General features: G+C 49.6%; 3 protein-coding genes across 9 annotated transcripts, besides 15 other annotated features; 1 reads left to right on the forward strand and 2 right to left on the reverse strand.

The window, feature by feature from the left end:
- Positions 1-72: 72 nt before the first annotated feature.
- On the reverse strand, positions 73-6,365 carry TM9SF1 (transmembrane 9 superfamily member 1). 3 transcript variants are annotated; one of them, NM_001289006.2, is made up of 6 exons: positions 6,270-6,365; positions 5,599-5,754; positions 3,572-4,193; positions 3,095-3,280; positions 1,304-1,577; positions 73-732 (listed from the first exon to the last, which is right to left on the reverse strand). In NM_001289006.2, the coding sequence occupies exons 2-6, from the start codon at positions 5,680-5,682 to the stop codon at positions 339-341; spliced, it is 1,560 nt and encodes a 519-aa protein (NP_001275935.1). In that variant the 5' UTR covers positions 5,683-5,754; positions 6,270-6,365; the 3' UTR covers positions 73-338. The 3 variants fall into 3 exon arrangements, with proteins under 3 accessions (NP_001275935.1, NP_006396.2, NP_001014842.1); NM_006405.7 differs by having other exon boundaries at positions 5,599-5,960; NM_001014842.3 differs by lacking the exon at positions 73-732 and having other exon boundaries at positions 962-1,577; positions 5,599-5,960.
- Positions 5,945-6,644: an enhancer, noted in NCBI's record as "H3K27ac hESC enhancer chr14:24664227-24664926 (GRCh37/hg19 assembly coordinates)". NCBI's record gives its function as "activates a minimal SCP1, AML or CMV promoter by ChIP-STARR-seq in naive H9 embryonic stem cells {active_cell/tissue: H9 hESC(naive)}" and the evidence as "EXISTENCE:reporter gene assay evidence [ECO:0000049][PMID:30033119]".
- Positions 6,134-6,313: a silencer, noted in NCBI's record as "silent region_5631". NCBI's record gives its function as "represses an Ori minimal core promoter by ATAC-STARR-seq in GM12878 lymphoblastoid cells {active_cell/tissue: GM12878}" and the evidence as "EXISTENCE:reporter gene assay evidence [ECO:0000049][PMID:35858748]".
- Positions 6,454-6,513: a silencer, noted in NCBI's record as "silent region_5632". NCBI's record gives its function as "represses an Ori minimal core promoter by ATAC-STARR-seq in GM12878 lymphoblastoid cells {active_cell/tissue: GM12878}" and the evidence as "EXISTENCE:reporter gene assay evidence [ECO:0000049][PMID:35858748]".
- Positions 6,714-6,773: an enhancer, noted in NCBI's record as "active region_8194". NCBI's record gives its function as "activates an Ori minimal core promoter by ATAC-STARR-seq in GM12878 lymphoblastoid cells {active_cell/tissue: GM12878}" and the evidence as "EXISTENCE:reporter gene assay evidence [ECO:0000049][PMID:35858748]".
- Positions 7,024-7,263: an enhancer, noted in NCBI's record as "active region_8195". NCBI's record gives its function as "activates an Ori minimal core promoter by ATAC-STARR-seq in GM12878 lymphoblastoid cells {active_cell/tissue: GM12878}" and the evidence as "EXISTENCE:reporter gene assay evidence [ECO:0000049][PMID:35858748]".
- Positions 11,281-12,218: an enhancer, noted in NCBI's record as "H3K27ac hESC enhancer chr14:24669563-24670500 (GRCh37/hg19 assembly coordinates)". NCBI's record gives its function as "activates a minimal SCP1, AML or CMV promoter by ChIP-STARR-seq in primed H9 embryonic stem cells {active_cell/tissue: H9 hESC(primed)}" and the evidence as "EXISTENCE:reporter gene assay evidence [ECO:0000049][PMID:30033119]".
- Positions 12,948-14,147: an enhancer, noted in NCBI's record as "BRD4-independent group 4 enhancer chr14:24671230-24672429 (GRCh37/hg19 assembly coordinates)". NCBI's record gives its function as "activates an origin of replication core promoter dependent on BRD2, P300/CBP, MED14 and CDK7 cofactors, and independent of BRD4, by STARR-seq in HCT116 cells {active_cell/tissue: HCT116}" and the evidence as "EXISTENCE:reporter gene assay evidence [ECO:0000049][PMID:35650434]".
- Positions 12,948-14,252: a biological region, named in NCBI's record as "BRD4-independent group 4 enhancer GRCh37_chr14:24671230-24672429".
- Positions 13,354-14,252: an enhancer, noted in NCBI's record as "OCT4-NANOG-H3K27ac-H3K4me1 hESC enhancer chr14:24671636-24672534 (GRCh37/hg19 assembly coordinates)". NCBI's record gives its function as "activates a minimal SCP1, AML or CMV promoter by ChIP-STARR-seq in naive H9 embryonic stem cells {active_cell/tissue: H9 hESC(naive)}" and the evidence as "EXISTENCE:reporter gene assay evidence [ECO:0000049][PMID:30033119]".
- Positions 14,253-15,151: an enhancer, noted in NCBI's record as "H3K27ac-H3K4me1 hESC enhancer chr14:24672535-24673433 (GRCh37/hg19 assembly coordinates)". NCBI's record gives its function as "activates a minimal SCP1, AML or CMV promoter by ChIP-STARR-seq in primed H9 embryonic stem cells {active_cell/tissue: H9 hESC(primed)}" and the evidence as "EXISTENCE:reporter gene assay evidence [ECO:0000049][PMID:30033119]".
- On the forward strand, positions 16,620-19,172 carry TSSK4 (testis specific serine kinase 4). Of its 5 annotated transcripts, none has more exons than XM_024449542.2 (4): positions 16,620-17,072; positions 17,433-17,647; positions 18,040-18,433; positions 18,816-19,172. In XM_024449542.2, exons 1-4 carry the CDS (start codon positions 16,848-16,850, stop codon positions 18,885-18,887), a joined length of 906 nt encoding a protein of 301 aa, XP_024305310.1. In that variant the 5' UTR covers positions 16,620-16,847; the 3' UTR covers positions 18,888-19,172. The 5 variants fall into 5 exon arrangements, with proteins under 5 accessions (XP_024305310.1, NP_001171668.1, NP_777604.2 ...); NM_001184739.2 differs by having other exon boundaries at positions 18,888-19,172; NM_174944.4 differs by having other exon boundaries at positions 18,070-18,433; positions 18,888-19,172.
- A 1,366-nt stretch (positions 19,173-20,538) lies between these two features.
- Positions 20,539-24,412, reverse strand: CHMP4A (charged multivesicular body protein 4A). Its single transcript, NM_014169.5, has 6 exons — positions 24,333-24,412; positions 22,604-22,753; positions 22,339-22,516; positions 21,578-21,692; positions 21,272-21,407; positions 20,539-20,859 (listed from the first exon to the last, which is right to left on the reverse strand). Exons 1-6 carry the CDS (start codon positions 24,361-24,363, stop codon positions 20,801-20,803), a joined length of 669 nt encoding a protein of 222 aa, NP_054888.3. The 5' UTR covers positions 24,364-24,412; the 3' UTR covers positions 20,539-20,800.
- Positions 23,821-23,940: an enhancer, noted in NCBI's record as "active region_8196". NCBI's record gives its function as "activates an Ori minimal core promoter by ATAC-STARR-seq in GM12878 lymphoblastoid cells {active_cell/tissue: GM12878}" and the evidence as "EXISTENCE:reporter gene assay evidence [ECO:0000049][PMID:35858748]".
- Positions 23,821-24,703: a biological region, named in NCBI's record as "NANOG-H3K27ac-H3K4me1 hESC enhancer GRCh37_chr14:24682177-24682985".
- Positions 23,895-24,703: an enhancer, noted in NCBI's record as "NANOG-H3K27ac-H3K4me1 hESC enhancer chr14:24682177-24682985 (GRCh37/hg19 assembly coordinates)". NCBI's record gives its function as "activates a minimal SCP1, AML or CMV promoter by ChIP-STARR-seq in naive H9 embryonic stem cells {active_cell/tissue: H9 hESC(naive)}" and the evidence as "EXISTENCE:reporter gene assay evidence [ECO:0000049][PMID:30033119]".
- Positions 24,131-24,630: an enhancer, noted in NCBI's record as "active region_8197". NCBI's record gives its function as "activates an Ori minimal core promoter by ATAC-STARR-seq in GM12878 lymphoblastoid cells {active_cell/tissue: GM12878}" and the evidence as "EXISTENCE:reporter gene assay evidence [ECO:0000049][PMID:35858748]".
- Positions 24,267-24,561: an enhancer, noted in NCBI's record as "tiled region #5945; HepG2 Activating DNase unmatched - State 1:Tss, and K562 Activating DNase unmatched - State 1:Tss". NCBI's record gives its function as "activates a minimal TATA promoter and a strong SV40 promoter by Sharpr-MPRA in HepG2 and K562 cells {active_cell/tissue: HepG2 | K562}" and the evidence as "EXISTENCE:reporter gene assay evidence [ECO:0000049][PMID:27701403]".

A 24,709-nucleotide genomic window follows, 5' to 3' on the forward strand; every position in this document is an offset into this window, starting at 1 on the left:
ATAAAGGACCGTGCCCTTAACAGCAGGGCTCGAGTTCCTATATCCAGACCAAAACCTCCAACTGCATGAGCCTTTTTCTTAATAAATTTTATTTTGGTAATTGTAAAAAGAAAAATCAGGACCAAAACTAAAGGCAACTTAAAAAGTTCAAATATATAATCCTTATGTGATAGAGATTTATAATTTCCAGGCCCTCTCTGGGGAAGGAATGCCCAAAGGGCAAAAGGGAAGGCAACAATGCCATCACACAATTCAGTCAATCAGAAGAGAAGCTGGTAGGAGAGTTCAACAGGGCATGAAGAAAGGGAGAGAACAGCAATAGTTCTGCCATACAGAACTCAGTCCATCTTGAGGTTAACATAGATATACCGGATGAACTTTAGGGAAGAAAAAAAGGAGATGGTGCCCAGCATGAGGAAGAAGACATAACCAGTGAGTAAGGAGTAGCCGAAGAACTCTACTGTCTGTACTGCCCCAGACATGTTGGAGCGCCGGGCATAATAGAAAACTGAGTAGAGGAAGATGAAGAGGCCGGTGGAGCCAACACTCAGCACAGATCGCCACCACCAGCGGTAATCCTCCCCAGACAACTGGAAGTAGGTGAGTGCAATGGAGATGCAAGCCCCCACACTCAGCAGGATGGCGAAGACAAAGAAGAGGATGCCGTACAAAGTGTACTGCTCCCGACCCCATACTGTGGCAAAGATGTAGTACAGCTCCACAGAGATGGCACTGTGAAGAAAAGAGATGATACACAGCATTAAAGGGCTGTGCACCATCAGCACAGTGGCTGGGCTGAAATCCAGCCCCCACCCTCTCCCATGTTGCTGGGTCATTGTGAAAAGTGAGTTCACTCCACTCTCTGCCCCAGATCTCCTGGCTTCATGGGGATTTTTTGCCTATGATTAGCCGCTCTCACTTCAAGAATATCTTCCCTAATAGATTGAGGGCAGGGATCTTGTCCATTTTATTCCACTTTATTCTTTGCCTGGCACAAAGAGGTATTCAACAAAGTAAATGGGTCATCAAATGGGCTTTAAACCCCACATGATGTCCATAGGCATTAAAGTCAGAAACCAGGAAGGTGAAGGGGGAAATGTCTCCGGAGAGCTTTATAAGTGAGACACTCTCATATCATTCAAGCTCAGTCCTGCTTGGGGATAGGAGGAACCATTTAATGATCTCTGAATGGTACCACTGAACCAGGGATCAACGGGTTGGGTTAGGGTACTGGATGAGTAGGGACAGGAAAAATTGAGGTCAGGAACCTGACAGTAATAGCCATGGAATAAAGGGAGGATACCTGAAAGGCAGGAAGCCTCCAACAGTCATGTGGATGACAGTAGACTTGTACCAGGGCTGGGGTGGAATCTCCCGGGCGATGTTCTTGGTGCGACAGGGTGCATCAAAGGGGCTGGCGTTGTTCTTCCCAAAGATGCCTCCAATGACAGTGAGGGGAAAGCCCACCAGCAGCCAAACCGTCAGAAGCAGCAGGATGGTTGTGGCTGGCAGAGCCTGTGTCGAACCATTGGCCCAATGCACTGAGTTCACCACACTCCACGTCAGGAAGAAAGGCACTGCAGGGATGGGCCCCCGGAGGGAGGGTCAACACTAGGAGCTACATCTCTAAGGGCACCCACTTACATCCAGGACCAAAAGGGGAGGGGGCTGAAGCAGCCTGCCACTCTAACGGCAGACTCATGCTCCTGGATGTCCCTGCAGAGTCGACTGCCTTCACCTCCACCCTTTCAGGTCCCATTATTCTTTGTTCTGTGTTTTTTTTTTTTTTTTTTTTTTTTTTTTGAGACAGAGTCTCGCTCTGTCGCCCAGGCTGGAGTGCAGTGGCGCGATCTCTGCTCACTGCAAGCTCCGCCTCCCAGGTTCATGCCATTCTCCTGCCTCAGCCTCCCGAGTGAGTAGCTAGGACTACAGGCGCCCGCCACCACGCCCGGCTAATTTTTTGTATTTTTAGTAGAGATGGGGTTTCACTGTGTTAGCCAGGATGGTCTCGATCTCCTGACCTGGTGATCTGCCTGCCTCAGCCTCCCAAAGTGCTGGGATTACAGGCATGAGCCACCACACCCGGACTCTTTGCTCTTTATCTTACCAACACCATCCCCCAACCCGGTGTCATTAAGGATCCAGGTAGCTACTACATAATCTGAGAGTAGCACAAATCCATCTGCCTCCAGGGGCCTGTCTTGCCTTGGAGTTGGTAATTCCTAGCATGAGACATTCCTTTGGATTAAGGCCCTGTTTTCAGAAAGCCTTGGTTCAAATATAAATGTGATGGGATAAAAATCAGACACACAGAATTGGGAACAAGAAGGGTTCAGAACAGAGACTACTACTGCCTTTGAAAGGGCAATCTGGTTTGAAAGCCTAGAGTGGGCCCACCTTCAAAATAAAAATTCAAGGGTGTTATTTTAGTGTAATGGGTGAGAATACAAGTCAGACTGCTGAAACCTAGTTCACTACTTTTTAGGAGTGTAATCTCAGACAAGTTACTTAAGCAGCCTTTAGTTCAGTTTCCTCATCTGTGGAATGGAAATATTACCTACTTCACACAGTTATTGCTGAGTGCTTTCCACACTGCCTAGGACATTTTGAGGGCTTAGTAATTTTAAACTATTCAAAAGAAATGCATTCTTGTTTTTTTTTGGTTTTCTTCTTTCTTTTACAATATTCCTTCCCTTCAAGCCTCATCCTGACTCTATCCCAAGTTCTATGATGTGTTCTTTTTTTTTTTTTGAGACAGTCTCACTCTGTCAGCCCAGCTAGAGTGCAGTGGTGCAATCATGGCTCACTGTAGCCTCAACCTCCCTGGCTCCCCAGGCTCAAGCAATCCTCCTGGGTCAGCCTCCCAAGTAGCTGGGATTACAGATGTGAACCACCATGCCCGGCTAATTTTTTGTTATAGAGAGAGGGTCTCACTATGTTGTCTAGGCTTGTCTCAAACTTTTGGGCTCAAGTGATCCTCCGGCCTCGGTCTCCCAAAGTGCTAGGATTACAGGTGTGAGCCACTGTGACCAGCCACAATGTGTTCTTCATTCCTAAGTCCAGAAAGGCCCACCAGGGAAAGGAAAGTCCTCACCAGAGAAGAGACTGGTGGTGAGAATGATGTTCCACACCCAACGCTCGCCTCCAATCTGCCGGTAGAAGTGGCTGGACACGTAGCCAGAGATGCAGCAGGTCAGGGCATACAACAAGATGGCTGCTGAGTTAATGGCCCCATGACGGTGCACATTGAACATGCCCAGCAGTGCCATGACAATAATGCCTGCAGGACGGTAGCGGAAAGCCCAAGTTAGGCCTCACCTGTGTCTCTTCTAGCAATTTCAGAGGAATCAGCCCCCCTTCTCCCAGACCCAGGGCCTCCAGCAAAACAATCTCCCCCAGTTTTGCTATCCAGAAAATCTACAATAGAATACGTGCATTCTTGCTAGAGCCACCCTATCCCTTAGGTCTGCCCCTCTGGATAGAAGAGAAGATCCACAGACCTTTTCTGAACAAACTCCCTACCTAGTTCTATCCCATGAGATAAATCCCCAATTCATTTTTATCACCTCACCAGTGCCAAGGGCCAGGAACTGGGCACCCACGCCAAGCACAGCACAGAGCAGACCACGGTATGGGGGGAAGCGGAAGACATCTGTATGGATAATTTTCCAGCCATTGTCACCCTGGTCAAAGTCATCACCAGAACCTGCAGAGGTGGTCTCCTCATCTAAGTTGTACCGAGCCAGGTCATTCCGAAGCACACGCATTAGAATGACAGCCACAAAACCCACCAGTAAAAACACAAGCACCATGGAGTTGATGATGGACAACCAATGGATTTCCAGTGTTCGAGGAAAGAAACCACCATCGTCACCACGGCGCCTGTCACTCCGACGCTCCACTGAAGTCTCAGACCAGCGCACGCTATAAGTGTGGGTAAGGCCTAGGAACTCGTCAGGTCGTAACCCATCCAAGCTGTGGGGCTTGACGTCCCGCACTGAAACATTGGCAAATATAATTCGGTCTCCATGGAATTCTAGGTGGAAGTCCAAATGGGTCCAGAGTCCTATCTTGTGGCTGTGTGGCAGGAAACCACTCTCCTCCATGTAGCCCACAAAGCCCCGGATTGGCAAGTCATCTACCACAAATTCAAAGTAGTACAGTTCTTCAATGGCCTGGCGCAGCTGCTCCACCTATAAAGAGCAAGTCAGGAGTTGGTCACACAAGATCTCCCCAGGCGCAGAGTTACAGCAAAGTTTCTCACCTTCAGCACTACTGATATTTTGGGGTGGATAATTCTTTTTTTTCGAGATGGAGTCTTGCTCTGTCACCCAGGCTGGAGTGCAGTGGTGCGATCTCGGCTTACTGCAACTTCTGCCTCCTGGGTTCAAGCAATTCTCCTGCCTCAGCCTCCCGAGTAGCTGGGATTACAGGCGCCCACCACCACACCCAGCTAATTTTTGTATTTTTAGTAGAGACAGGGTTTCACCATGTTGGCCAGGCTAGTCTCAAATTCCTGACCTCATGATCTGCCTGCCTCGGCCTCCCAAAGTGCTGGGATTGGTCGGGTGCGGAGGCTCATGCCTGTAATCCCAACACTTTGGGAGGCCGAGGCGGGCAGATCACGAGGTCAGGAGATCGAGACCATCCTGGCTAACACGGTGAAACCCCGTCTCTACTAAAAATACAAAAAATTAGCTGGGCGTGGTGGCGGGCGCCTGTAGTCCCAGCTACTCGGGAGGCTGAGGCAGGAGAATGGCGTGAACCCGGGAGGTGGAGCTTGCAGTGAGCCGAGATTGCGCCACGGCACTCCAGCCTGGGCGACAGAGCAAGACTCTGTCTCAAAAAAAAAAAAAAAGTGCTGGGATTACAGGAGTGAGCCACCACACCCAGCCTGGGTTGGATAATTCTTTGTCATAGTGGGGTTATCCCGTGCACTGTAGGATGTAGCTTTCCTGGCCTCTTCCCATTCTATGCTGGTAGTACCCCCCCAGCTGTAACAACAAAAAATGTCTCCAGACATTGCTAAATGTCCCTTGGGGGACAAAACTGTTCCCTGTTGACAATCACTGGGTTAGACTCTAGTATGTTGAGATTCTCCAAAAAAGAGCAAGTATGGCTTGACAGGGTTAAGGCCTAGAAAAAGGAGAGCGGTGAGGTATAAGGAGGTCTGGAGTGGACTAAGGAGAAGTACCAGGATTCACTAAAGAAAAAGCATGACAGGGAAGTTTAGGTAGAGACTACAGGAAACAGCTAAGAAACAGCCAAGAGGTAGGCATGGAAGGAAACAGAACTATGTGGGACTGATAGTTGGGACCTCATGACCAACAGAGAAGCTTGCAGTAAGAAACCCTGGGCTCTGATATCAGTTCTGCAAATCACTGTCCATGTAATCTTGAAAAAAGTAACTTCTGAGCAAGTATGTATCTTAGTCAACTGAATTAGAATAGCATCACCTAACCTGCCTGCCACACTGGGTTGTATTGTAGTTAGAATCAAATCAGACAATTTCCATAAAGGTACCCTGAACCATAAATGTAAGGCACTGTTAGTCTCTGGGAAGGAGGGCTACGTGATAGCCAATGTGGAGAGGCTGACCTGTGCAGAACTGAGCTGCATGTGGCACAGAATTCTCTTCTCCACGTTTTCCCGAAAGCGGATCTCATACAAAGACTCAGCCATTCGGTCCCCATCCAGCACTTCACCCAGGCTAAGGCTTTTGTGACGTATCTTCTCAGGGCAGCAGACTGGAAGCTGATAGTAGTGGTAAGTTTCCTGAGGGTTATGGTAGGGTCCCACTTTGTTGACATACAGAATAACAGGGTCGCCGGCCTTGTAGTGTGTCACGCCTTCCACCCCTGGCCCATGGCCTGTGCCCAGCAACAGTATCAGGATTGGCAACCACTGGCAGCTCCAACTTCGAGGGTTCCCTACGACTGTCATCCTTAAGGCAGTGGAACCTGTTTGGGGGAATCCTGAGGTTATAGAAACCAGGGAGGTTACAGAAACCCCAGGTCAGGTGCCTCGAACTGAGGTCCCCTGGCTCCACTTGCTCCCATTGGCCCCCTCCCCGCCTCACCCTACCCCACGTCTCTCTATCCCAAAGACCCCGCTCCACCTCTGCTCTCTCATCCTCCCAACCTGGGGTTCACCCCACCCGCAGCCCGTCTGGCCCGGGGCCTCTACTACGCGCCCTGGCCCGTTTCCATGGCAACGCCGCTCGGTCTCGCACCTCGGGTCCCTTCCCGCCACAGCCCCGGGGTCCTCACCGCGCGGGAAGGGCTGGCCGAGGCGGCGCCAGCGGCCTTCGCGCCCCCGTAGCTGCCTTTGGGCTCCTGCTGGGGTCTCTCCCACAGCGGCGCGGTAGCGGCGGGTTGGAGAGGACCTGCCGACCGACTTCTACGGGGTTGCCCGTTGCTGCGCCTGACAGCGGCGGCTGCGGCTACACCGCGCTGGACACCGCTCTGGCTTACTCAAGAACTCCCCGTTGCGCCTTCTCCATCTGGAGGCCCGGCCCAGCTCCGGGGACCCCGTGAGGCTCGGCTTGCCCCGCCCGTCTTCGGCGAGGCGGGGGTCCTCCCGGCGATCGGCAGCGCGGCCCAGGACACGTCAGTCTTACCACTTCCGCCCTCACCGGCGGCGACCTCAGCCTGGCGGAAAGCTCCTTGCCTGGAACGCAGAGGGCCTTCGCTGCTGCGGCCCCTGGGGACTCCTTCGCGACGGCTTCCCGGGGAGGGGGCTGAGGCCTGGCAGCGAGGACCCTGACACCCCTTCGGGAGAGGAGTGGCTGCTAGGCCGCTCGCTTGCTCCTGGAAAGATTTGGGGTTTGAGAGCTCTTGGCCAGGAGGCTCGCGCTGGCCGAGGCCCGAGAGCTGTCCCCGCGGGACGGGACTAGCGAGGGCCGGGGAGATGGAGCGCAGGCGGCGTCTGGGTTCGAAGCACTTTCCGGCTGAACCACCTGCTGCTGAGGCTGAGCCCTGAGAGGCGGTTCGTGGCCCCCAAACCGGGGAAGGGGCGAAGCTTTGGGCATCTGTCCCATGCAAGGGTCCCAACATCTGAATCTCACCTCACTCGTCTCCCACCTGTCACGAATGGCCAGCGCCAAAGTGATAAATATGTAATAGGAATGTCTTCCCGAGGCTGTGCTGGAGACTTCCCTGGCCGCACAGTGACCGTTCAGAGCCCACGATAAGCAAGCCGAAACCCGGTTTGGCGCAGAGGCGCGCAAGGAGAGAGGTCTGTCCTTTGACTCTGTGAGTTGGGCAGCCTAACATGGTTATTGTTAATTGACGGTAAAGTATCTCGAGGTCCGTTAGTCTATGTTTTTGTTCTTATTTATCACTGTGTATGTCTTTGGGCTTCTCTTCACTTTGTATGGCAGATTATTTTGAAAAAGTTTACCCTTGTGTTTGTCTCAGCTGTTTTAAAGGGGATCTGCCGTCTAGGGAGTTCCCCTTGAAAATCGGACCTTTGAGCAGTGACTTCTGTTTTGCCACCTGGGAGCAACGTGTAAGGAAGTGGACTTAAGCTTCTCTCTCCCCAGGGGAAGAAGCACAGTGGAAAAATCACAAGTGACTTCTGGCCTGAAAAGCCCTTAATTTACCTGCTTCTACAATTACTGCCCTTTCTGACCCAGTTCTTTCCCTGCAGATATAGGTGAGGTTCAAAGAAGCAGATGGTGGAGTTTTGTTAGACAATCAGTGAATTTTCTAATTAGAAAAAGAACTGAGGTCGGGCGCGGTGGGCTCACGCCTGTAATACCAGCACTTTGGGAGGCCAAGGCGGGCAGATCACCCGAGGTCGGGAGTTCGAGACCAGCCTAACATGGCGAAACCCTGTCTCTACTAAAAATACAAAAAAATTAGCTGGGCCTGGTGGCGGGCGCCTGTAACCCCAGCCACTTGTGAGGCTGAGGCAGGAGAATAGCTTGAACCTGGGAAGCGGAGGTTGCAGTGAACCGAGATCAGGCCATTGCACTCCAGCCTGGGCAACAGAGCGGGACTCCATCTCAAAAAAAAAAAAAAAAAGAAAAAGAAAAAGAAAAAAGAACAAGAACTGAGAGTGGCTTAGAAATAATCTCTAACTGACAACCACCTGGTCTCTAAAGCCAGAAACTTGGGCCTCTTTCTCTCTATCTTCCCGCTCAGATATCAGTGTCACCAAGCCCTCTCCACTTATTTCCTGAATATCTTCCAGATGCTTGCCTCCACCTCTTTGGTTCAGGCTCCATCTTCTCTCACCTAAACTACCATGAGAGCCACCTTGCTAGTCTCCTAGTCACCTTCCCCCTGGGTCATTTTTCACACTGCTACTGGAAAGTTTCTTTTTTAAAATCAGGATTCTCAGGGGAGGGGGTGCCTGGTCATCAGCATTTTTTTTTTTTTAAAAAAAGCAAGCACTGAGGCCGGGCGTAGTGGCTCACTCCTGTAATCCCAGCACTTTGGGAGGCCGAGGTGGATTACCTGAGGTCGGGAGTTCAAGACCAGCCTGTCCAACATGGTGAAACCCCGTCTCTACTAAAAATACAAAAAAAATTAGCCGGGCATGGTGGCTCATGGCTATAACCCCAGCCACTTGGGAGGCTGAGGCAGGGTAATCGCTTGAACCCAGGAGGCGGAGGTTGCAGTGAGCTGAGACTGCACCATTGCACTCCAGCCTGGGCAACAAGAACCAAACTCTGTCTCAAAAAAATAAGCACTGATTTTGATGTATACCCAGATTATATGAGCATACAAGGTAGAGTCAAAATAGCCTGGCATATGAGACTGCTCAGACCTGGATCCTAATTACTTCTCAAGGTACATTCCCCTTCTGGAACCCTATTCTGTATTCAAATAGAAATACTGAATATCATATTCTCTCAAGCCGGCAAGCCTCATATTGTTCCTCCTGCCTAAACCACCCAATCTCCTATTCCCTACTTATCTTTTTTTTTTTTTTTTTTGAGACAGAGTCTCGCTCTGTTGCCCAGGCCGGAGTGCAGTGGCGTGATCTCTGCTCACTGCAAGCTCCGCCTCCCAGGTTCACGCCATTCTCCCGCCTCAGCCTCCCGAGTAGCTGGGACTACAGGTGCCTGCCACCACGCCCGGCTAATTTTTGTTTTTGTATTTTCAGTAGAGACGGGGTTTCACAGTGTTAGCCAGGATGGTCTCGATCTCCCAACCTCATGATCTGCCCGCCTTGGCCTCCCAAAGTGCTGGGATTACAAGTGTGAGCCACCGTGCCTGGCCTTTTTTTTTTTTTTTTTTTTTTTTTGAGACAGTCTCACTGTCAACCAGGCTGGAGTGTAGTGGTGTGATCTCAGTTCACTGCAACCTCCACCTCCGAGTTCAAGCGATTCTCCTGCCCCAGCCTCCCGAGTAGCTGGGACTACAGGTGCGCACCACCATGCCCGGCTAATTTTTGTATTTTTTAGTAGAGATGGGGTTTCACCATATTGGCCAGGCTGGTCTCGAACTCCTGACTTCGTGATCCGCCCGCCTTGACCTCCCAAAGTGCTGGGATTACAGGCATGAGCCACTGCACCTGGCCTTATCCTTTTTTTTTGAACAGTGCAAATGTCACCTTCTCTATAAAGCCTTCCCTTACATCTCCTCCCAGGTTTGTTTATAGCATATCTCACTGTAGTGTTATTTTACTTCTTATGTGTCTGTCTCCCTTGCTAATTTCAAACTCCTCAGAGGAAGACTGTAATTTATTCATCTCTGTTTCCTCAGGACCTAGCAGTGTTTTTGTATATGTTAGGCAGCTTAATACATGATCTTCGCATGAACTGGTTTACCCCCTGTACATGATGAGAGACTAGAGTTGCCACCAAGTTACCTATCCGGGGGCCAGCCTGTGGGATCAGATGGGCAGGATTGGGTGGGCCCCCTTACCATGGTGTGCCCTGGAAAACTGCTCATCTTGCTAGATTGAGGATATAGAGCTGGCTTCCAACAGAACTTTGGAACCATCCTGCCAGCAAGGTCAGACTGTCAATAAATGGGAATTTATTGCATGCCTGTGGCATAATCTGTTCTTGAAGTATTCTGTTTTGGAGGATGGAAGATATGAGAATTTGGATTCTTCCCTTGTTCTTTTCTCTGCCCCTCTGTCCCCCACTGATATAGTTTGGATAGTTATCCCTGCCCAAATCTCATGTTGAAATGTAATCCCCAATGCTGTAGGTGGGTCCTGGTGGGAGGTTTTTGGATCATGGGGGCGGACCCCTCATGGTTTGGTGTAGTATTTACCCTATGAGTTCTCACAAGATCTGGTTGTTTAAAAGCGTGTGGCACCTCCACCACAACTCTCTCTCTCTCACTCCCATTCTCACCACGTGATGTCCCTGCTTCCCCTTCACCTTCCGTTTTGATTATAAGCTTCCTGAGGCCTCCCCAGAAGCTGAGCCAGCACCATGCTTCCTATACAGCCTGCAGAACGGTGAGCCAATTAAACCTCTTTTCTTTTCTTTTCTTTTTTTTTTTTTTTTTTTTTGAGACGGAGTCTTGCTCTGTCGCCAGGCTAGAGTGCAGTGGTGTGATCTTGGCTCACTGCAACCTCCCCCTCCCAGGTTCAAGTGATTCTCCTGCCTCAGCCTCCAGAGTAGCTGGGACTACAGCCACACACCACCATGCCCAGCTAATTTTTGTATTTTTAGTAGAGATGTGGTTTCACCATGTTGGCCAGGATGGTCTTGATCTCTTGACCTTGTGATCCGCCTGCCTAATTTGGCCTCCCAGAGTGTTGGGATTACAGGCGTGAGCCACTGCACCCGGCCTAAACCTCTTTTCTTTACAAACTACCCAGTCTCATGTTTTTGTTTGTTTTTGTTTTTGAGACAGGGTCTCACTTTGTCACCCAGGCTGGAGTGCAGTGGTGCCATCTTGGTTCACTGCAGCCTTCACCTCCCAGGCTCAAGTGATCCTTCTGAGTAGCTGAGACTATAGGCACATGCCACCACACCTAGCTAATATTGGTATTTTTCGTAGAAATGGGTTTTTGCTATGTTGCCCAAGCTGGTCTTGAACTCCTGGGCTCAGGTAATCCACCTGCCTTGGCTTCCCAAACTGTCAGGATTACAGGCATGAGCCACTGTACACGGCCTCAGGTATTTCTTTCTTTTTTTTTTTTGAGACAGAGTGTTGCTCTGTCACCAGGCTGGAGTGCAGTGGTGCGATCTCGGCTCACTGAAACCTCCGACTCCGTGGTTCAAGTGATTCTCCTGCCTCAGCCTCCCGAGTACCTGGGATTACAGGCATGCACCACCACGCCCAGCTAATTTTTGTGTCTTTAGTAGAGACGGGTTTCACTATGTTGGCCAGGCTGGTCTCGATCTCCTGACCTCCTGATCTGCCCGCTTCAGCCTCCCAAAATGCTGGGATTACAGGCATGAGCCACCACGCCCGGCCTGGTATTTCTTTATAGCAATGCAAGAACGGCCTAATACCCACCACACAAAATCTTTTTTGTTTTTTTGGTTTTTTTTTTTTTTTTTTTTTTTTTTTTTTTGAGACAGAGTCTCTGTCGCCCAGGCTGGAGCGCAGTGGCGCGATCTCGGCTCACTGCAAGCTCCGCCTCCCAGGTTCATGCCATTCTCCTGCCTCAGCCTCTCCAAGTGGCTGGGACTACAGGCACCCGCCACCACACCTGGCTAATTTTTTGTATTTTTAGTAGAGACAGGGTTTCACCGTGGTCTTGATCTCCTGACCTCCTGATCCGCCCTCCTCGGCCTCCCAAAGTGCTGGGATTACAAGTGTGAGCCACCGCACCCGGCCGGTTTTTTGCTTTTGAGACAGAGTCTCGCTCTGTCACCCAGGCTGGAGTGCAGTGGTGCAATCTCTGCTCACTGCAAACTCCACCTCCTGGGTTCACACCATTCTCCTGCCTCAGCCTCCCGAGTAGCTGGGACTACAGGCGCCCGCCACCATGCCTGGCTAGTTTTGTATTTTTAGTAGAGACGGGGTTTCACCATGTTAGCCAGGATGGTCTCGATCTCCTGACCTCGTGATCTGCCCACCTCAGCCTCCCAAAGTGCTGGGATTACAAGCTTGAGCCACCGTGCCTGGCCTTTTTTTTGTTCGTTTAGACAGAGTCTTGCTCTGTTGCCCAGGCTGGAGTGCAGTGGCATGATCTCGGCTCACTGCAAACTCTGCCTCCTGGCTTCAAGAGATTCTCCTGACTCTGCCTCCCAAGTACCTGGGATTACAGGCGCCTGCCACCACACCCACCTAATTTTTGTATTTTTAGTAGAGATGGGTTTCACCATGTTGGTCAGGCTGGTCTTGAACTCCTAACCTCAAGCAGTCCACCAGCCTTGGCCTCCCAAATTGCTGGGATTACAGGCGTGAGCCACTGCGCCCGGCTACAAAATCTTAAATCTAAATAACTCCTCTGTGACCACAACCTCCTGTTCTTCTCATTCTCTCAATTCCTACCAAACTTGTTTTTCCATTCCAGTGACACCTGCAACTCCTCCTTCTGCCCCTTTGGCCAGTTTCTAGCTTGTCTTCTGTGTCAGCTGCCTTGCTATAAAGAAATACCTGAGACTGGGTAATTTATAAGAAAAGAGCTTTAATTGGCTGTGGTTCTGCAGGCTGTACAGGAAGCATAATGCTGGCATCTGCTTCTGGGGAGGCCTCAGGAAGCTTACAATCATGGCAGAAGGTGAAGGGGGAGCAAGTATCTCACATGGTGGGAGCAGGAGCAAGAGGGCAAAGGGGGAGGTGCTACACACTTTTTAAAATGACCACATCTCATAACTCACGGCAAGAGGGTGGTGCTACACATTCATCAGAAACCCACCTCCATGATCCAGTCACCTCCCACCAGGCCCCTCCTCCAACATTGCAGATTACAACTGACCATGAGATTTGGGTGGGGACACAGATCCAAACCATATAATCTTCTGTTGCGGGAAGTCAGGGACCCCAAACGGAGGGACCGGCTGAAGCCATGACAGAAGAACGTGGATTGTGAAGATTTCATGGACATTTATTAGTTCCCCAAATTAATACTTTTATAATTTCTTATGCCTGTCTTTACTGCAATCTCTAAACATAAATTGTGAAGATTTCATGGACACTTATCACTTCCCCAGTCAATACCCTTGTGATTTCCTATGCCTGTCTTTACTTTAATCTCTTAATCCTGTCATCTCGTAAACCGAGGAGGATGTACATCGCCTCAGGACCCTGTGATAATTGCGTTAACTGCACAAATTGTACAGCATGTGTGTTTAAACAATATGAAATCTGGGCACCTTGAAAAAGAACAGGATAACAGCAATGTTTAGGAAACAAGAGAGATAACCTTAAACTCTGACCTCCGGTGAGCCAGGCGGAACAGAGCCATATTTCTCTTCTTTCAAAAGCAAATGGGAGAAATATCGCTGAATTCTTTTTCTCAGCAAGGAACATCCCTGGGAAAGAGAATACGTGCCTGAGGGTGGGTCTCTGAAATGGCCCCTTTGGGTGTGGCTGTCTTCTATGGTTGAAACTGTAGGGATGAAATAAACCCCAGTCTCCCATAGCACTCCCAGGCTTATTAGGAAGAGGAAATTCCCACCTAATAAATTGTGGTCAGACAGGTTGCTCTCAAAACCCTGTCTCCTGATAAGATGTTATCAATGACAATGGTGCCCGAAACTTCATTAGCAATTTTAATTTTGCCCCGGTCCTGTGATCTCGCCCTGCCTCCCTTTGCCTTTGATATTCTATTACCTTGTGAAGTACGTGATCTTTGTGACCCACACCCTATTCGTACACTCCCTCCCCTTTTGAAAGTCCCTAATAAAAACTTGCTGGTTTTGCGGCTTGTGGGGCATTACAGAATCTACCGACATGTGATGTCTCCCCCGGATGCCCAGCTTTAAAATTTCTCTCTTTTGTACTCTGTCCTTTTATTTCTCAAACCGGCCGACGCTTAGGGAAAATAGAAAAGAACCTACGTGACTATCGGGGCAGGTTCCCCGATAATCTTCCTTATCCATGCAGCTTAGATTCCGCATTCCATTTCAGCCACATTCTTGCGTATGTTCTTGATGCCCCTCTCCCATTGTTTCATTGCAGCTGCCAAGCAAAACCCTAAATCATCCATCAACATTCAAGTACCTATAACCAAGATGCTAAAAGAATCACAACACTATATGTGTCTATGGACAAGTTGTTCTCCAACCTCAGTTGGGCCCTCAATGCTGCTCATTTTCTAAACCAGCTCTTTTCTATTCTCCACACTTCATCTGTCTTCTCATCATTTGACCTCCCTATATAGCTTAGTGGGAGATGCAAGCAACAGAAGCAATTACAGACACTATGTTAGGTGCTGTGACAGACAAAGTATTGGGCCTGTGGGAGCACCCAGGAAGAAGGAATATCTAACTGAAGCTTGAGCAGTCAGTTAAGCCTTCTTTAAAACAGCTCCACTGGGCGCGGTGGCTCACGGCTATAATCCCAGCACTTTGGGAGGCTGAGGCAGGCAGATCACCTGAGGTTGGGAGTTCGAGACCAGCCTGACCAACATGGAGAAACCCCGTCTCTACTAAAAAATACAAAATTAGCCAGGCGTGGTGGTGCATGCCTGTAATCCCAGCTACTCGGGAGGCTGAGGCGGGAGAATGGCTTGAACCCGGGAGGTGGAGGTTGCGGTGAGCCGAGATTGTGCCATTGCACTCCAGCCTGGGCAACAAGAGCGAAACTCCATCTCAAAACAAAAACAGACGGGGCGCGGTGGCTCATGCCTATAATCCCAGCACTTTGGGAGGCCAAGGTGGGCAGATCACCTGAGGTCGGGAGTTCAAGACCTGCCTGACCAACATGGAGAAACCCTGTCTCTACTAAACATACAAAATAGCTAGGCATGGTGGTGCATGTCTGTAATCCTAGCTACTAGGGAGGGTGAGGCAGGAGAATCGCTTGAACCCAGGAGTTGGAGGTTGTAGTGAGCCAAGATCGTGCCATTGCACTCCAGCCTGGGCAACAAGAGCGAAACTCCATCTCAAAAAAAAAAAAAGAGAAAAAAGGTCCTATGCCAAGTTCTCAAGGAAGATTTGGAGTTTGCCACAAATACAGAAAAGCAGTTGTGGATCATTACGTGTGTGTTAAAAAATAAAATTGGGGAGGTAAGCAGGATCAGACTTAAAGCTGTGTGAAAGAATTTGGATGGACTTGATCCTAAAGAGAATGGGGAGACACTGAATTGTTTCAAATGGAAATAAAATCAGATTTATGCTTTGGACTTGGGATGGACAGACTGGAGTGGAGCAGAAGGCTGGCGGGGGCCATCTGTTCGATGATGGAGGCGTGAACTAAGGGATTAGCAGTGGGCTCAGAAAACCATGAGAATATTATCAAAGAGAGAATCAGGAGGTATAAGAGATAGGATTTCGTGATAGATTGAATGTAGGGACTGAGGCAGGAGGGTCTGGGATGACATATGAGTGTCTAAATTAAGGGTGATTAGTGTACAACTCACAGAAAAGTCTGAGAGAAGAAAATAAGTTCAATTATTGATATGGTTAAGTTTGAGATGGATATGGTAAGTTCCATGCCTGGGGCAGACATGGCCACGTAATACTGGCTGCTCTATCTAAACTCCAGATATATGGGATGGAGATGAAATTAGGAGCAGTCAGCATAAATGTAGTATTGACACCATGGGTATGGACAAGATTAAGGGAGGATGTGAAGGTTTGAGAAAATAAAGCTTGTGATGTAACACTTGGGATATGATTAAGGGATGGATAGAGAAAGATATAACTTCAGTGAAGGCTGAGGAGTGACCAGAAGGATGTGGAGGAAAACTAGAGAGTTCTGGCTCATAGAAGATAAGGATGCATTTCAAGGTTAGATTTTCCTAGAACATGTTCAATACCTTACAATGGTAATACTTTCACACTCGTATTTCTCATGCTGCATTATAAGCTTTAGGATCATAGTGTCTCTATTGGCCTTATTGAACTAAGGGGGCTGCAATGGGCTCGGAAAGCCTTGAGTGTATCATTAAAGAGATAAGTAGGAGATAGCAGAGACAGGATTTGATGAAAGATTGTATGTAGGGATTGAGGAAGGAGGAAGGGTCTGGCATGACATTTGGGTGACATTTTATCCAAGTATTCAGCACAGTGTCTGGTACTTAGTAGGTACTCATATATCAATGAAAGGTCTGATCTTTAGGAGTTTCACCAGACTGTGGAAGGTGCCTCTGGGAATGAGTACGTTTCCAACTGCACTTCATTCTCTTTTTTTTTTTTTTTTTTTTTGAGACGGAGTCTCGCTCTGTCGCCCAGGCTGGAGTGCAGTGGCGCAATCTCGGCTCACTGCAAGCTCTGCCTCCCAGGTTCACGCCATTCTCCTGCCTCAGCCTCCCAAGTAGCTGGGACTACAGGCGCCCGCCACTACGCCCGGCTAATTTTTTGTATTTTTAGTAGAGACGGGGTTTCACCGTTTTAGCCGGGATGGTCTCGATCTCCTGACCTCGTGATCCGCCCGCCTCGGCCTCCCAAAGTGCTGGGATTACAGGCGTGAGCCACCGCGCCCGGCCGCACTTCATTCTCAAGTTTTGTGGCCAACGATGGATAGGAGGTGGATTGTGATGTATTCGGAACATGGGACCTTGAGGAGTTCCGTAACCAAAAGGAGAAAGTAACAACAGCCAGTGGAGACAAAAAGAACTGCTTCTCTTTCTTTCCCCCTCCAAGTTCCTAGTGGAGGGCTGAGTCCAGCATCCCAGACTCGTGTGACTATATAGGCAAGCATTTGGGGACCTACTTCACTTTGATACCCTAGCCTTCAGCAGCTCAAGGTGTTGGCCTTTGGATAGGAGGCTTCCAAGTAGTAAAGCTCCCTGCTCTCAGCAAGCCCAACACCATGGGGAAGGGAGATGTCTTAGAGGCAGCACCAACCACCACAGCCTACCATTCCCTCATGGATGAATATGGTTATGAGGTGGGCAAGGCCATTGGCCATGGCTCCTATGGGTCGGTATATGAGGCTTTCTACACAAAGCAGAAGGTTATGGTGGCAGTCAAGATCATCTCAAAGAAGAAGGCCTCTGATGACTATCTTAACAAGTTCCTGCCCCGTGAAATACAGGTTGGAAAGGGGGCTGGAAGAGGGAACTGGAGCTTGGTACTAAGCTGCTTGAGGTTTCTCAGAAGGGGTATGGCCAGGAGGGGTGGGGCCAGAAACCCCTAAACCAGAACTGAAATGTCTCACTAAGCAGCTAGGAAACTTTATGTAAGTTAAACCTCTTTCCCATCCACCCACTCACCTTCAGTCCCCAAAAAGTAAAGGCACAAAACATAGCATTTGCCCACAGGCCACCAGTTCTCTGGGGTTGAGGGGCTGATCCTATTGCAAAGTCCTAAGTCAGTAGCTGAGGGTAGGAGACGGCTGGGAGTGCAGTCAGGGTTCTCCCTTCCCAGGTTTGATGGGTCCTTCTTCTGGGGTCAGGTAATGAAAGTCTTGCGGCACAAGTACCTCATCAACTTCTATCGGGCCATTGAGAGCACATCTCGAGTATACATCATTCTGGAACTGGCTCAGGGTGGTGATGTCCTTGAATGGATCCAGCGCTACGGGGCCTGCTCTGAGCCCCTTGCTGGCAAGTGGTTCTCCCAGCTGACCCTGGGCATTGCCTACCTGCACAGCAAGAGCATCGTGCACCGGTGAGGGCGCTGCCACCCAGACTGGGGCCTTTGCCCTCAAGGGGGTTTTATGCACATCTCCCATTTCCTGTCCTTTTTTCCTCTTTCGAACTCCCTCCTCAATATCTAGCCTATTCATGCACTCTATTTTAATCATATGGTCAAGGATACTGATAAAGTACTCACTGTATGCAAAGCATTTTATGAAATACAATGGTGAGCTCCCGGTGGTCCTCAGATACCATCCTCTGTCTCTCTCCCTACTTTGGGCTCTGCTCACAACTCCATGGCTTTCCTTCCTCTCTACCTTGTGCCCTCATAATGGTTTCTACCTCCCACTTCCTCTGTCCTCATCTTTACCCTCTGACCCCTGGCCCTTCAGCTCCCAGTCTAAAACTAAGCCCTCTCCCCAGCCTGATGCCCAGCCTTTCTGCTGCTGGTAGGGACTTAAAGTTGGAGAACCTGTTGCTGGACAAGTGGGAGAATGTGAAGATATCAGACTTTGGCTTTGCCAAGATGGTGCCTTCTAACCAGCCTGTGGGTTGTAGCCCTTCTTACCGCCAAGTGAACTGCTTTTCCCACCTCAGCCAGACTTACTGTGGCAGCTTTGCTTACGCTTGCCCAGAGATCTTACGAGGCTTGCCCTACAACCCTTTCCTGTCTGACACCTGGAGCATGGGCGTCATCCTTTACACTCTAGTGGTCGCCCATCTGCCCTTTGATGACACCAATCTCAAAAAGCTGCTAAGAGAGACTCAGAAGGAGGTCACTTTCCCAGCTAACCATACCATCTCCCAGGAGTGCAAGGTACTGGCTACCTAAGGAGGGCTGAGCCTTCAGGGATGACCCACAGGGAGGGGTGAATATCCAACCTAGGTCACCCAACCTAGGCCTCCCAACCCTGGGGAAAGGCTCTTCCCACACCAGAGCCATCTCACACACTAGCTCCTGTCCTATAATAAACAGTATGGAAGGCATAAAGGGCCAACCACTAGGCTCCAAACCTTGCCTGATACACAGGTTCCAGCTTCTTTCTCTTTAGGCCAGAAGGGAAATATGGAAAGCATTCCTCCCAAGGAACTCTTCCCTTCCCCTCCAGGGAGTTAACTGCCTGGGTCTCCAAGATAAAATCAGAGCCACACCCACTTTGACCAGAGTGGTATGATGGGCTATCCTGCTTCTTTCTTAGGTCCAACTGCTCATTGCCTGTGTGGCACAATGGAGAAAAACTCAGGCAAGACCTCTCTCTCCCCTGCTCTAGAACCTGATCCTCCAGATGCTACGCCAAGCCACTAAGCGTGCCACCATTCTGGACATCATCAAGGATTCCTGGGTGCTCAAGTTCCAGCCTGAGCAACCCACCCATGAGATCAGGCTGCTTGAGGCCATGTGCCAGCTCCACAACACCACTAAACAGCACCAATCCTTGCAAATTACGACCTGAAAATGGCTGAGGGAGGGGGCTAAGAGAGGAGCAAAGCAGGAGGTCTTGGGCTAAAAATCTTTTTTACCAAAAATAAATCTAAGTCTGATTTAGTTTCATCAACTAGGGTCAAAGACATTCTTTTCTCAAGGCAATCTTATAGCAGGGAACACTGCTGGAGTAAGAGATAGATTTCTGCCCAGAGCCTGTAACCAATAATCTTGACACTGTGTTAAATCAATAGTGTAATTCATGATGTGGCTCTTAGGGGATGGGGTGCTCAGATTAACGCTCTATTTTGGGAAGCTTTATTATTCAACTCAACATATGCTCATTATTTTACATCTTTGTGCTGTTTAAATGCTCAAGTAGTGGGGTAAAAGCCCTGGTTCTTCCACTTTGATTATGGCTCTGCCTGTCTATAGTCCAAAGTAATGGCACTGTTAGTTCTTTTAGAAATGGGTATTCGAGCTGGGTGCGGTGGCTCACGCCTGTAATCCCAACACTTTGGGGGGCCGAGGCGGGCAGATCACTTGAGGTCAAGAGTTCGAGACCAGACTGGCCAACATGGCAAAACCCTGTCTCTATGAAAAATACAAAAATTAGCCGGGCATAGTGGCACCTGGCTGAGGCAGGAGAATCACTTGAACCCGGGATGCAGGGGTTGCAGTGAGCCGAGATCGCGCCACTGCACTCCAGCCTGGGCGACAAAGTGAGACTCTGTCTCAAAAAAAAAAAAAAAAGAAAAGAAAAGAAATGGGTATTCGGGTGTATGAAGTACCTTGGTTCCTTTTCCCTCTTCCAGTGTCACCTTAACCACTACTGACACAATAGCAGGGAGACAAGGCTTCTCACACAATTGTTCCCAGACACAGAATTCAAACCAAGCCTTCTAGTAGTGAAAGCTACTAACTATGGGTTCTGGATAAAGGAAAGCTACTTGCTCCTTCCATTCCAAGTAGCAAAGCTACTTGCTCCTTCCATTCCAAGTAGCAAAGCTACTTGCTCCTTCCATTCCAAGTAGCAAAGCTACTTGCTCCTTCCATTCCAAGTAGCAAAGCTACTTGCTCCTTCCATTCCAAGTAGCAAAGCTACTTGCTCCTTCCATTCCAAGTAGCAAAGCTACTTGCTCCTTCCATGGTATTCTCCCTCCTTGTCCTTGAAAATGGGCTTTGTAAAAGAAATTTGGGGCTGTCTTGGCAGAGGCACGACCAGGGGAAAGCAATGAGGGAAGACTCAGAGATGCCTCCACGTGGTTCTAAGTGGTAGATGGCAGTTTCTTCAGCCTCAGCAACTAGGCAACTCTAGGACAAACCGGCTTGAAAGATGAAATAATGTTTGCCTGGAACATAGGTTGAGATACTAGGAATGCCCATTTGTTCTATGTTCCAACCCCCCTTCTTTGCTCTAATTATTCATTGCTTGAAATAAGGCTCCAAGGGCCAGGGGAACAGCTTCAGGGGTAGACAAGGCAGTATAGACACTAGGATTCCATCTGCCCAGTTTTATTGGGAACAAGGGCATTATAACTGCTATCAAAGAGAAGGGAGCCCAAGGGCTCCTTCTGTAGCAAGATCCTTCTTCAGAGTTGAGCCAGGGCTGGGAGGGTAAGAGACCCTTTTTTCAGGCAGGGTCACACTACCACCCTCAGCATGACTTCCCCAAAAAGTTATCCTCCTTTAGCTCAGCACTTGGCACTTAAGGAAGAAAGGACCAACAAAGGTAGCATTAGGAAGACAAGCCCAGATTTATCAGGATACCCACTCAGCCAACTGCTTTAGTGCTTCTTCATCTTCATCCACTTTGGGAGCTTTGAGGACAAAGATACCCAGAGAAAAGAAAGGAGAAGCAGTAAGGTCTCAGCAACTCCAACCATCCCCTGCTATGACATTCAGAGCCTGCTGAATTCTGTCTCCCCAGCAAAAAACCTAAAGGTATGGTCCTTCTGCTTGCTAGGCTGCTGTTCAATCCCACAGCACCTTTGTGCAAATTAGAAAAATGGTGCCTCTTGCTCCTGCCATTTGCAGCCCTAAACCAGGGTACACGGCTTGTTGAGTGAAGCACAGGCTAGGTGGGTGCCTATATGCAGTCAACAACCTGCACAACTGCAGCAGCAGCCCTTTCTGTGTGGCTCCTTTGAGGCAGGATGGATGAGGAATAATCTTTCCCCATATCTCTCCCACCCTCTTAAGTCCTCAAGACAACAGAACAACCCTGCATACCTGGCCCTGCCGGCAGATGAGTAGAAGGTACACTAGGCAATTTGACTGAGGGTTCTTCTTCCTTGTCGCCCACATTTAACAACTCCTGGGCCAATTCCTCCTGCTCCAGCTCCTCTAGCTCCTCCAGCAGTTCATCCTGGATAGGGAAGACAAGACCACTTTAGATGAAGAAAAAAACTTCTACCTCCAAAAACATACCACTTTTGAAGTTCCCTCCCAAACTTGTCCCAAGAGCCTCTCTTGGGTGTTCCTTCTGGCCAGTCCCATACTTTCTGCAATATTCCCTGACCCTTCACCCCCAATCACCTCATCCACATCATCTCCAAAGCCCATAGGCCGAGAAATGGCATCTGAGATCTGCTGGGCCACCTCCTGTTGTTCCGTGATGTCAGTCATCAGTTCATCTACCTTGTCAATGTCCCTGAGAATGAGATAGATAGCTAAGAAATCACGCAACAATGCCCCCTTGACTTTCTCATCTCACATGAATGAAACCCCTCCTGCCTTGCAGGGTCACACTGATAAGCCCATAACTATCAATCAGAAGAGATCCCTGGAAAATTGCAAAGATGCAAGTTGTGATCCCAGCACTTTGGGAGGCCAAGGCAGGTGGATCACCTGAGGTCAGGAGTTCAAGACCAGCCTGGCCAAAATGGCAAAACTCCATCTCTACTAAAAATACAAAAATGAGCTGGGCACAGTAGTGCACACCTGTAATCCCAGCTACTCAGGAGGCTGAGGCAGGAGAATCACTTGAACCCAGGAGGCGGAGGTTGCAGTGAGCCGAGATTGTGCCACTGCACTCCAGCCTGGGCGACAGAGCAAGACTCCATCTCAAAAAACAAAACAAAACAAAACAAAAAAAGAATTAGAGAAGGCATCTTTCCTCCCTAGAATGCCCCAGGCAGCGAAAGAATTTTATAGGAAGCAAGGGGCAGATGGATGTCTAGCCATCACAAGTATCTATACTGCAAATTCACATTCTGAGAGGCTTTAAAGTTTAAAGTGTGATAGCAAGCCACTCTTCCCAGTGCCTGGGTCCCCTCCACCCCTCCCCCCGTACCCACATGTCCTGGTAGGCCTTCTTCATGCTTTGGGCAGCAAGCTCCATGGTACGAAGGACTTCTGCATTGGTAGTGGCATTCTCAATGGCCTCACGCTGAAACTCCAGGGTGGATAATGTCCCGTCAGTTTGTGCCAGCTGCTGTTCGAATCTTTTCTTCCTCCGCAAAGCCTGTAGGGCAGCTGACCCAGCCCATACCCTGAACATCAAGAGTCAGAAGCACCTGCTTCCCATCTGGGCCCTCCCCATAGGCTTGTTTCCCTCATTACCTCTCTTATTCTTGGTCCCATACTTCTTGGCTGTTTGTAGCTCCTGTTGAATCTTCTGCTCCAAAAATTCCTGTTTCTTGATCAGTATCTTCTCTGTCTCCTTCAGTTTCTGTATTGCTTCTTCAGGGGTTGGCCCTTTCTCCTTCTTCCCTGAGGAGTCCAGTGGAGTAGGCCCAAATTTTGTGAAGGAAAAATATTAGCCACCAATCATTGAATACATAGTATGTGCTAGAGACCTGACTGTGTTATTGCTAATCCCCAAATCTCTACAATGAACGTGCTATCTCTTCACTTTAAAAATGTGAAAACAACCACAAAGATGTTAAAAATCACAACTAATAAGAGATTGTGCAGGAATCAAGATGTGGCAGTATGAGTTCTAAAACCAATATTCTTTTTACTATTCCTAGCTGCCTTTCTTTTTTTTTCTTTAGGCAGAGTTTCAGTCTTGTTGCCCAGGCTGGAACGCAATGGCGTGATCTCAGCTCACCTCAACCTCCGCCTCCTGGGTTCAAGCAATTCTCCTGCCTCAGCCTCCCAAATAGCTGGGATCACAGGCATGTGCCACCATGCCTGGCTAATTTTTTGTGTTTTTAGTACAGACAGGCTTTCTCCATGTTGGTCAGGCTGGTGTCGAACTCCCAACCTCAGGTGATCTGCCCGCCTCGGCCTCCCAAAGTGTTTTGATTACAGGCATGAGCCACCGCGCCAGGACTTCTTTTTTTGAGACAGAGTCTCGCTCTGTTGCCCAGGCCAGAGTGCAGTGGCATGATCTCAGCTCATTGCAACCTCCGTCTCCCGGGTTCAAGTGATTCTCCTGCCTCAGCCTCCCTGAGTAGCTGGGACTACAGGCACACACCATCATGCCCACCTAATTTTTTTTTTTTTTTTTGAGAATGGAGTCTCCCTCTGTCACCAAGGCTGGAGTGCATTGGTGCAATCTTGGCTCACTACAACCTCCGCCTCCTGGGTTCAAGCGATTCACCTGTCTCAGCCTCCCCCAGTAGCTGGGACTACAGGCGCGTGCCACCACAACCAGCTAATTTTTTTTTTTTTTTTGTATTTTTAGTAGAGACAAGGTTTCACCATGTTGTCCAGGCTGGTCTCGAACTCTTGACCTCAGGTGATCCACCCACCTCGGCCTCCCAAAGTGCTGGGATTACAGGCGTGAGCCACCGCGCCCGGCCAATTTTTATATTTTTAGTAGAGACGGGGTTTCACCATATTGGCCAGGCTGATCTCAAACTCCTGACCTCATGATCCACCCACGTCGGCCTCCCAAAGTGTTGCGAGTACAGGCGTGAGCCCCCGCGCCGGGCTAAGAAGGCAGTCTTTCTTCTTCACCTTAGATCCCTCTTGCCCAGCACAAAGTATTATAGAACAAGGTTTTGAAAATGGCTGAAGACAGCAGGAAACTCGTCTTCAAGCCTGAACAGTGGGAGTCAGCACGATCGCCACGCCCTCAACTCAAGTCCCCTCCCAGATCTTGAGTTCTTCCCTCTGAGAGTGGGGGAGGACGGCGGACGGGAACAAGGCGCCCCGACATGGTGTGCCTTTTGGCACCGGCGATGAGCCTTGCTCCGCCATCGGCCGCCGGGGTTTTCCAGTCAGCCTGTCTCCTGATTCTCTTCCCCTGCCCGGCGCAGCGGTCCGGCCGAATCTCGCCGGGGTCTCCTCTTCCCCTGCACCAGCCAGCGCCTCCTGGCTGGCCAGTCCCACCCTGGCTCACCCTTCCCGAAGAGCCTGCCGAGACCACTCATCGCGAGCTCGCCTCTCCCGCCTCCGCCCCTCAGCGTCCTCCAGACTTCCGCCTTGCTCCTGGGAGGGTGATGTCTCATCACACAGGGACCAGCCTTGCCCAATCCGTCCTCAGGGCGCCGCCGCGACATCAAGAGGCGCAAACGAGACCACCGGTGTCACGTGACCCAAGCCACCAGCCCCAGACCGACGCGCTCCTCTTAAAGCTGCCACATCATTTTCTATTAAGTAAAAAGACAGTTCTATCTCCACCTGAGTACGTGCTTGTTCTCCGGAAGGAAATGTGCAGTGTGATGGCACCTCAGTGTATGGGGTCAGTGGGAAAACTTCATGCTCTTTACAGAGCTC

The sequence above is a fragment of the Homo sapiens genome, chromosome 14 (assembly GCF_000001405.40).
Source record: "Homo sapiens chromosome 14, GRCh38.p14 Primary Assembly".
NCBI classification, from domain to species: Eukaryota; Metazoa; Chordata; class Mammalia; order Primates; family Hominidae; genus Homo; species Homo sapiens.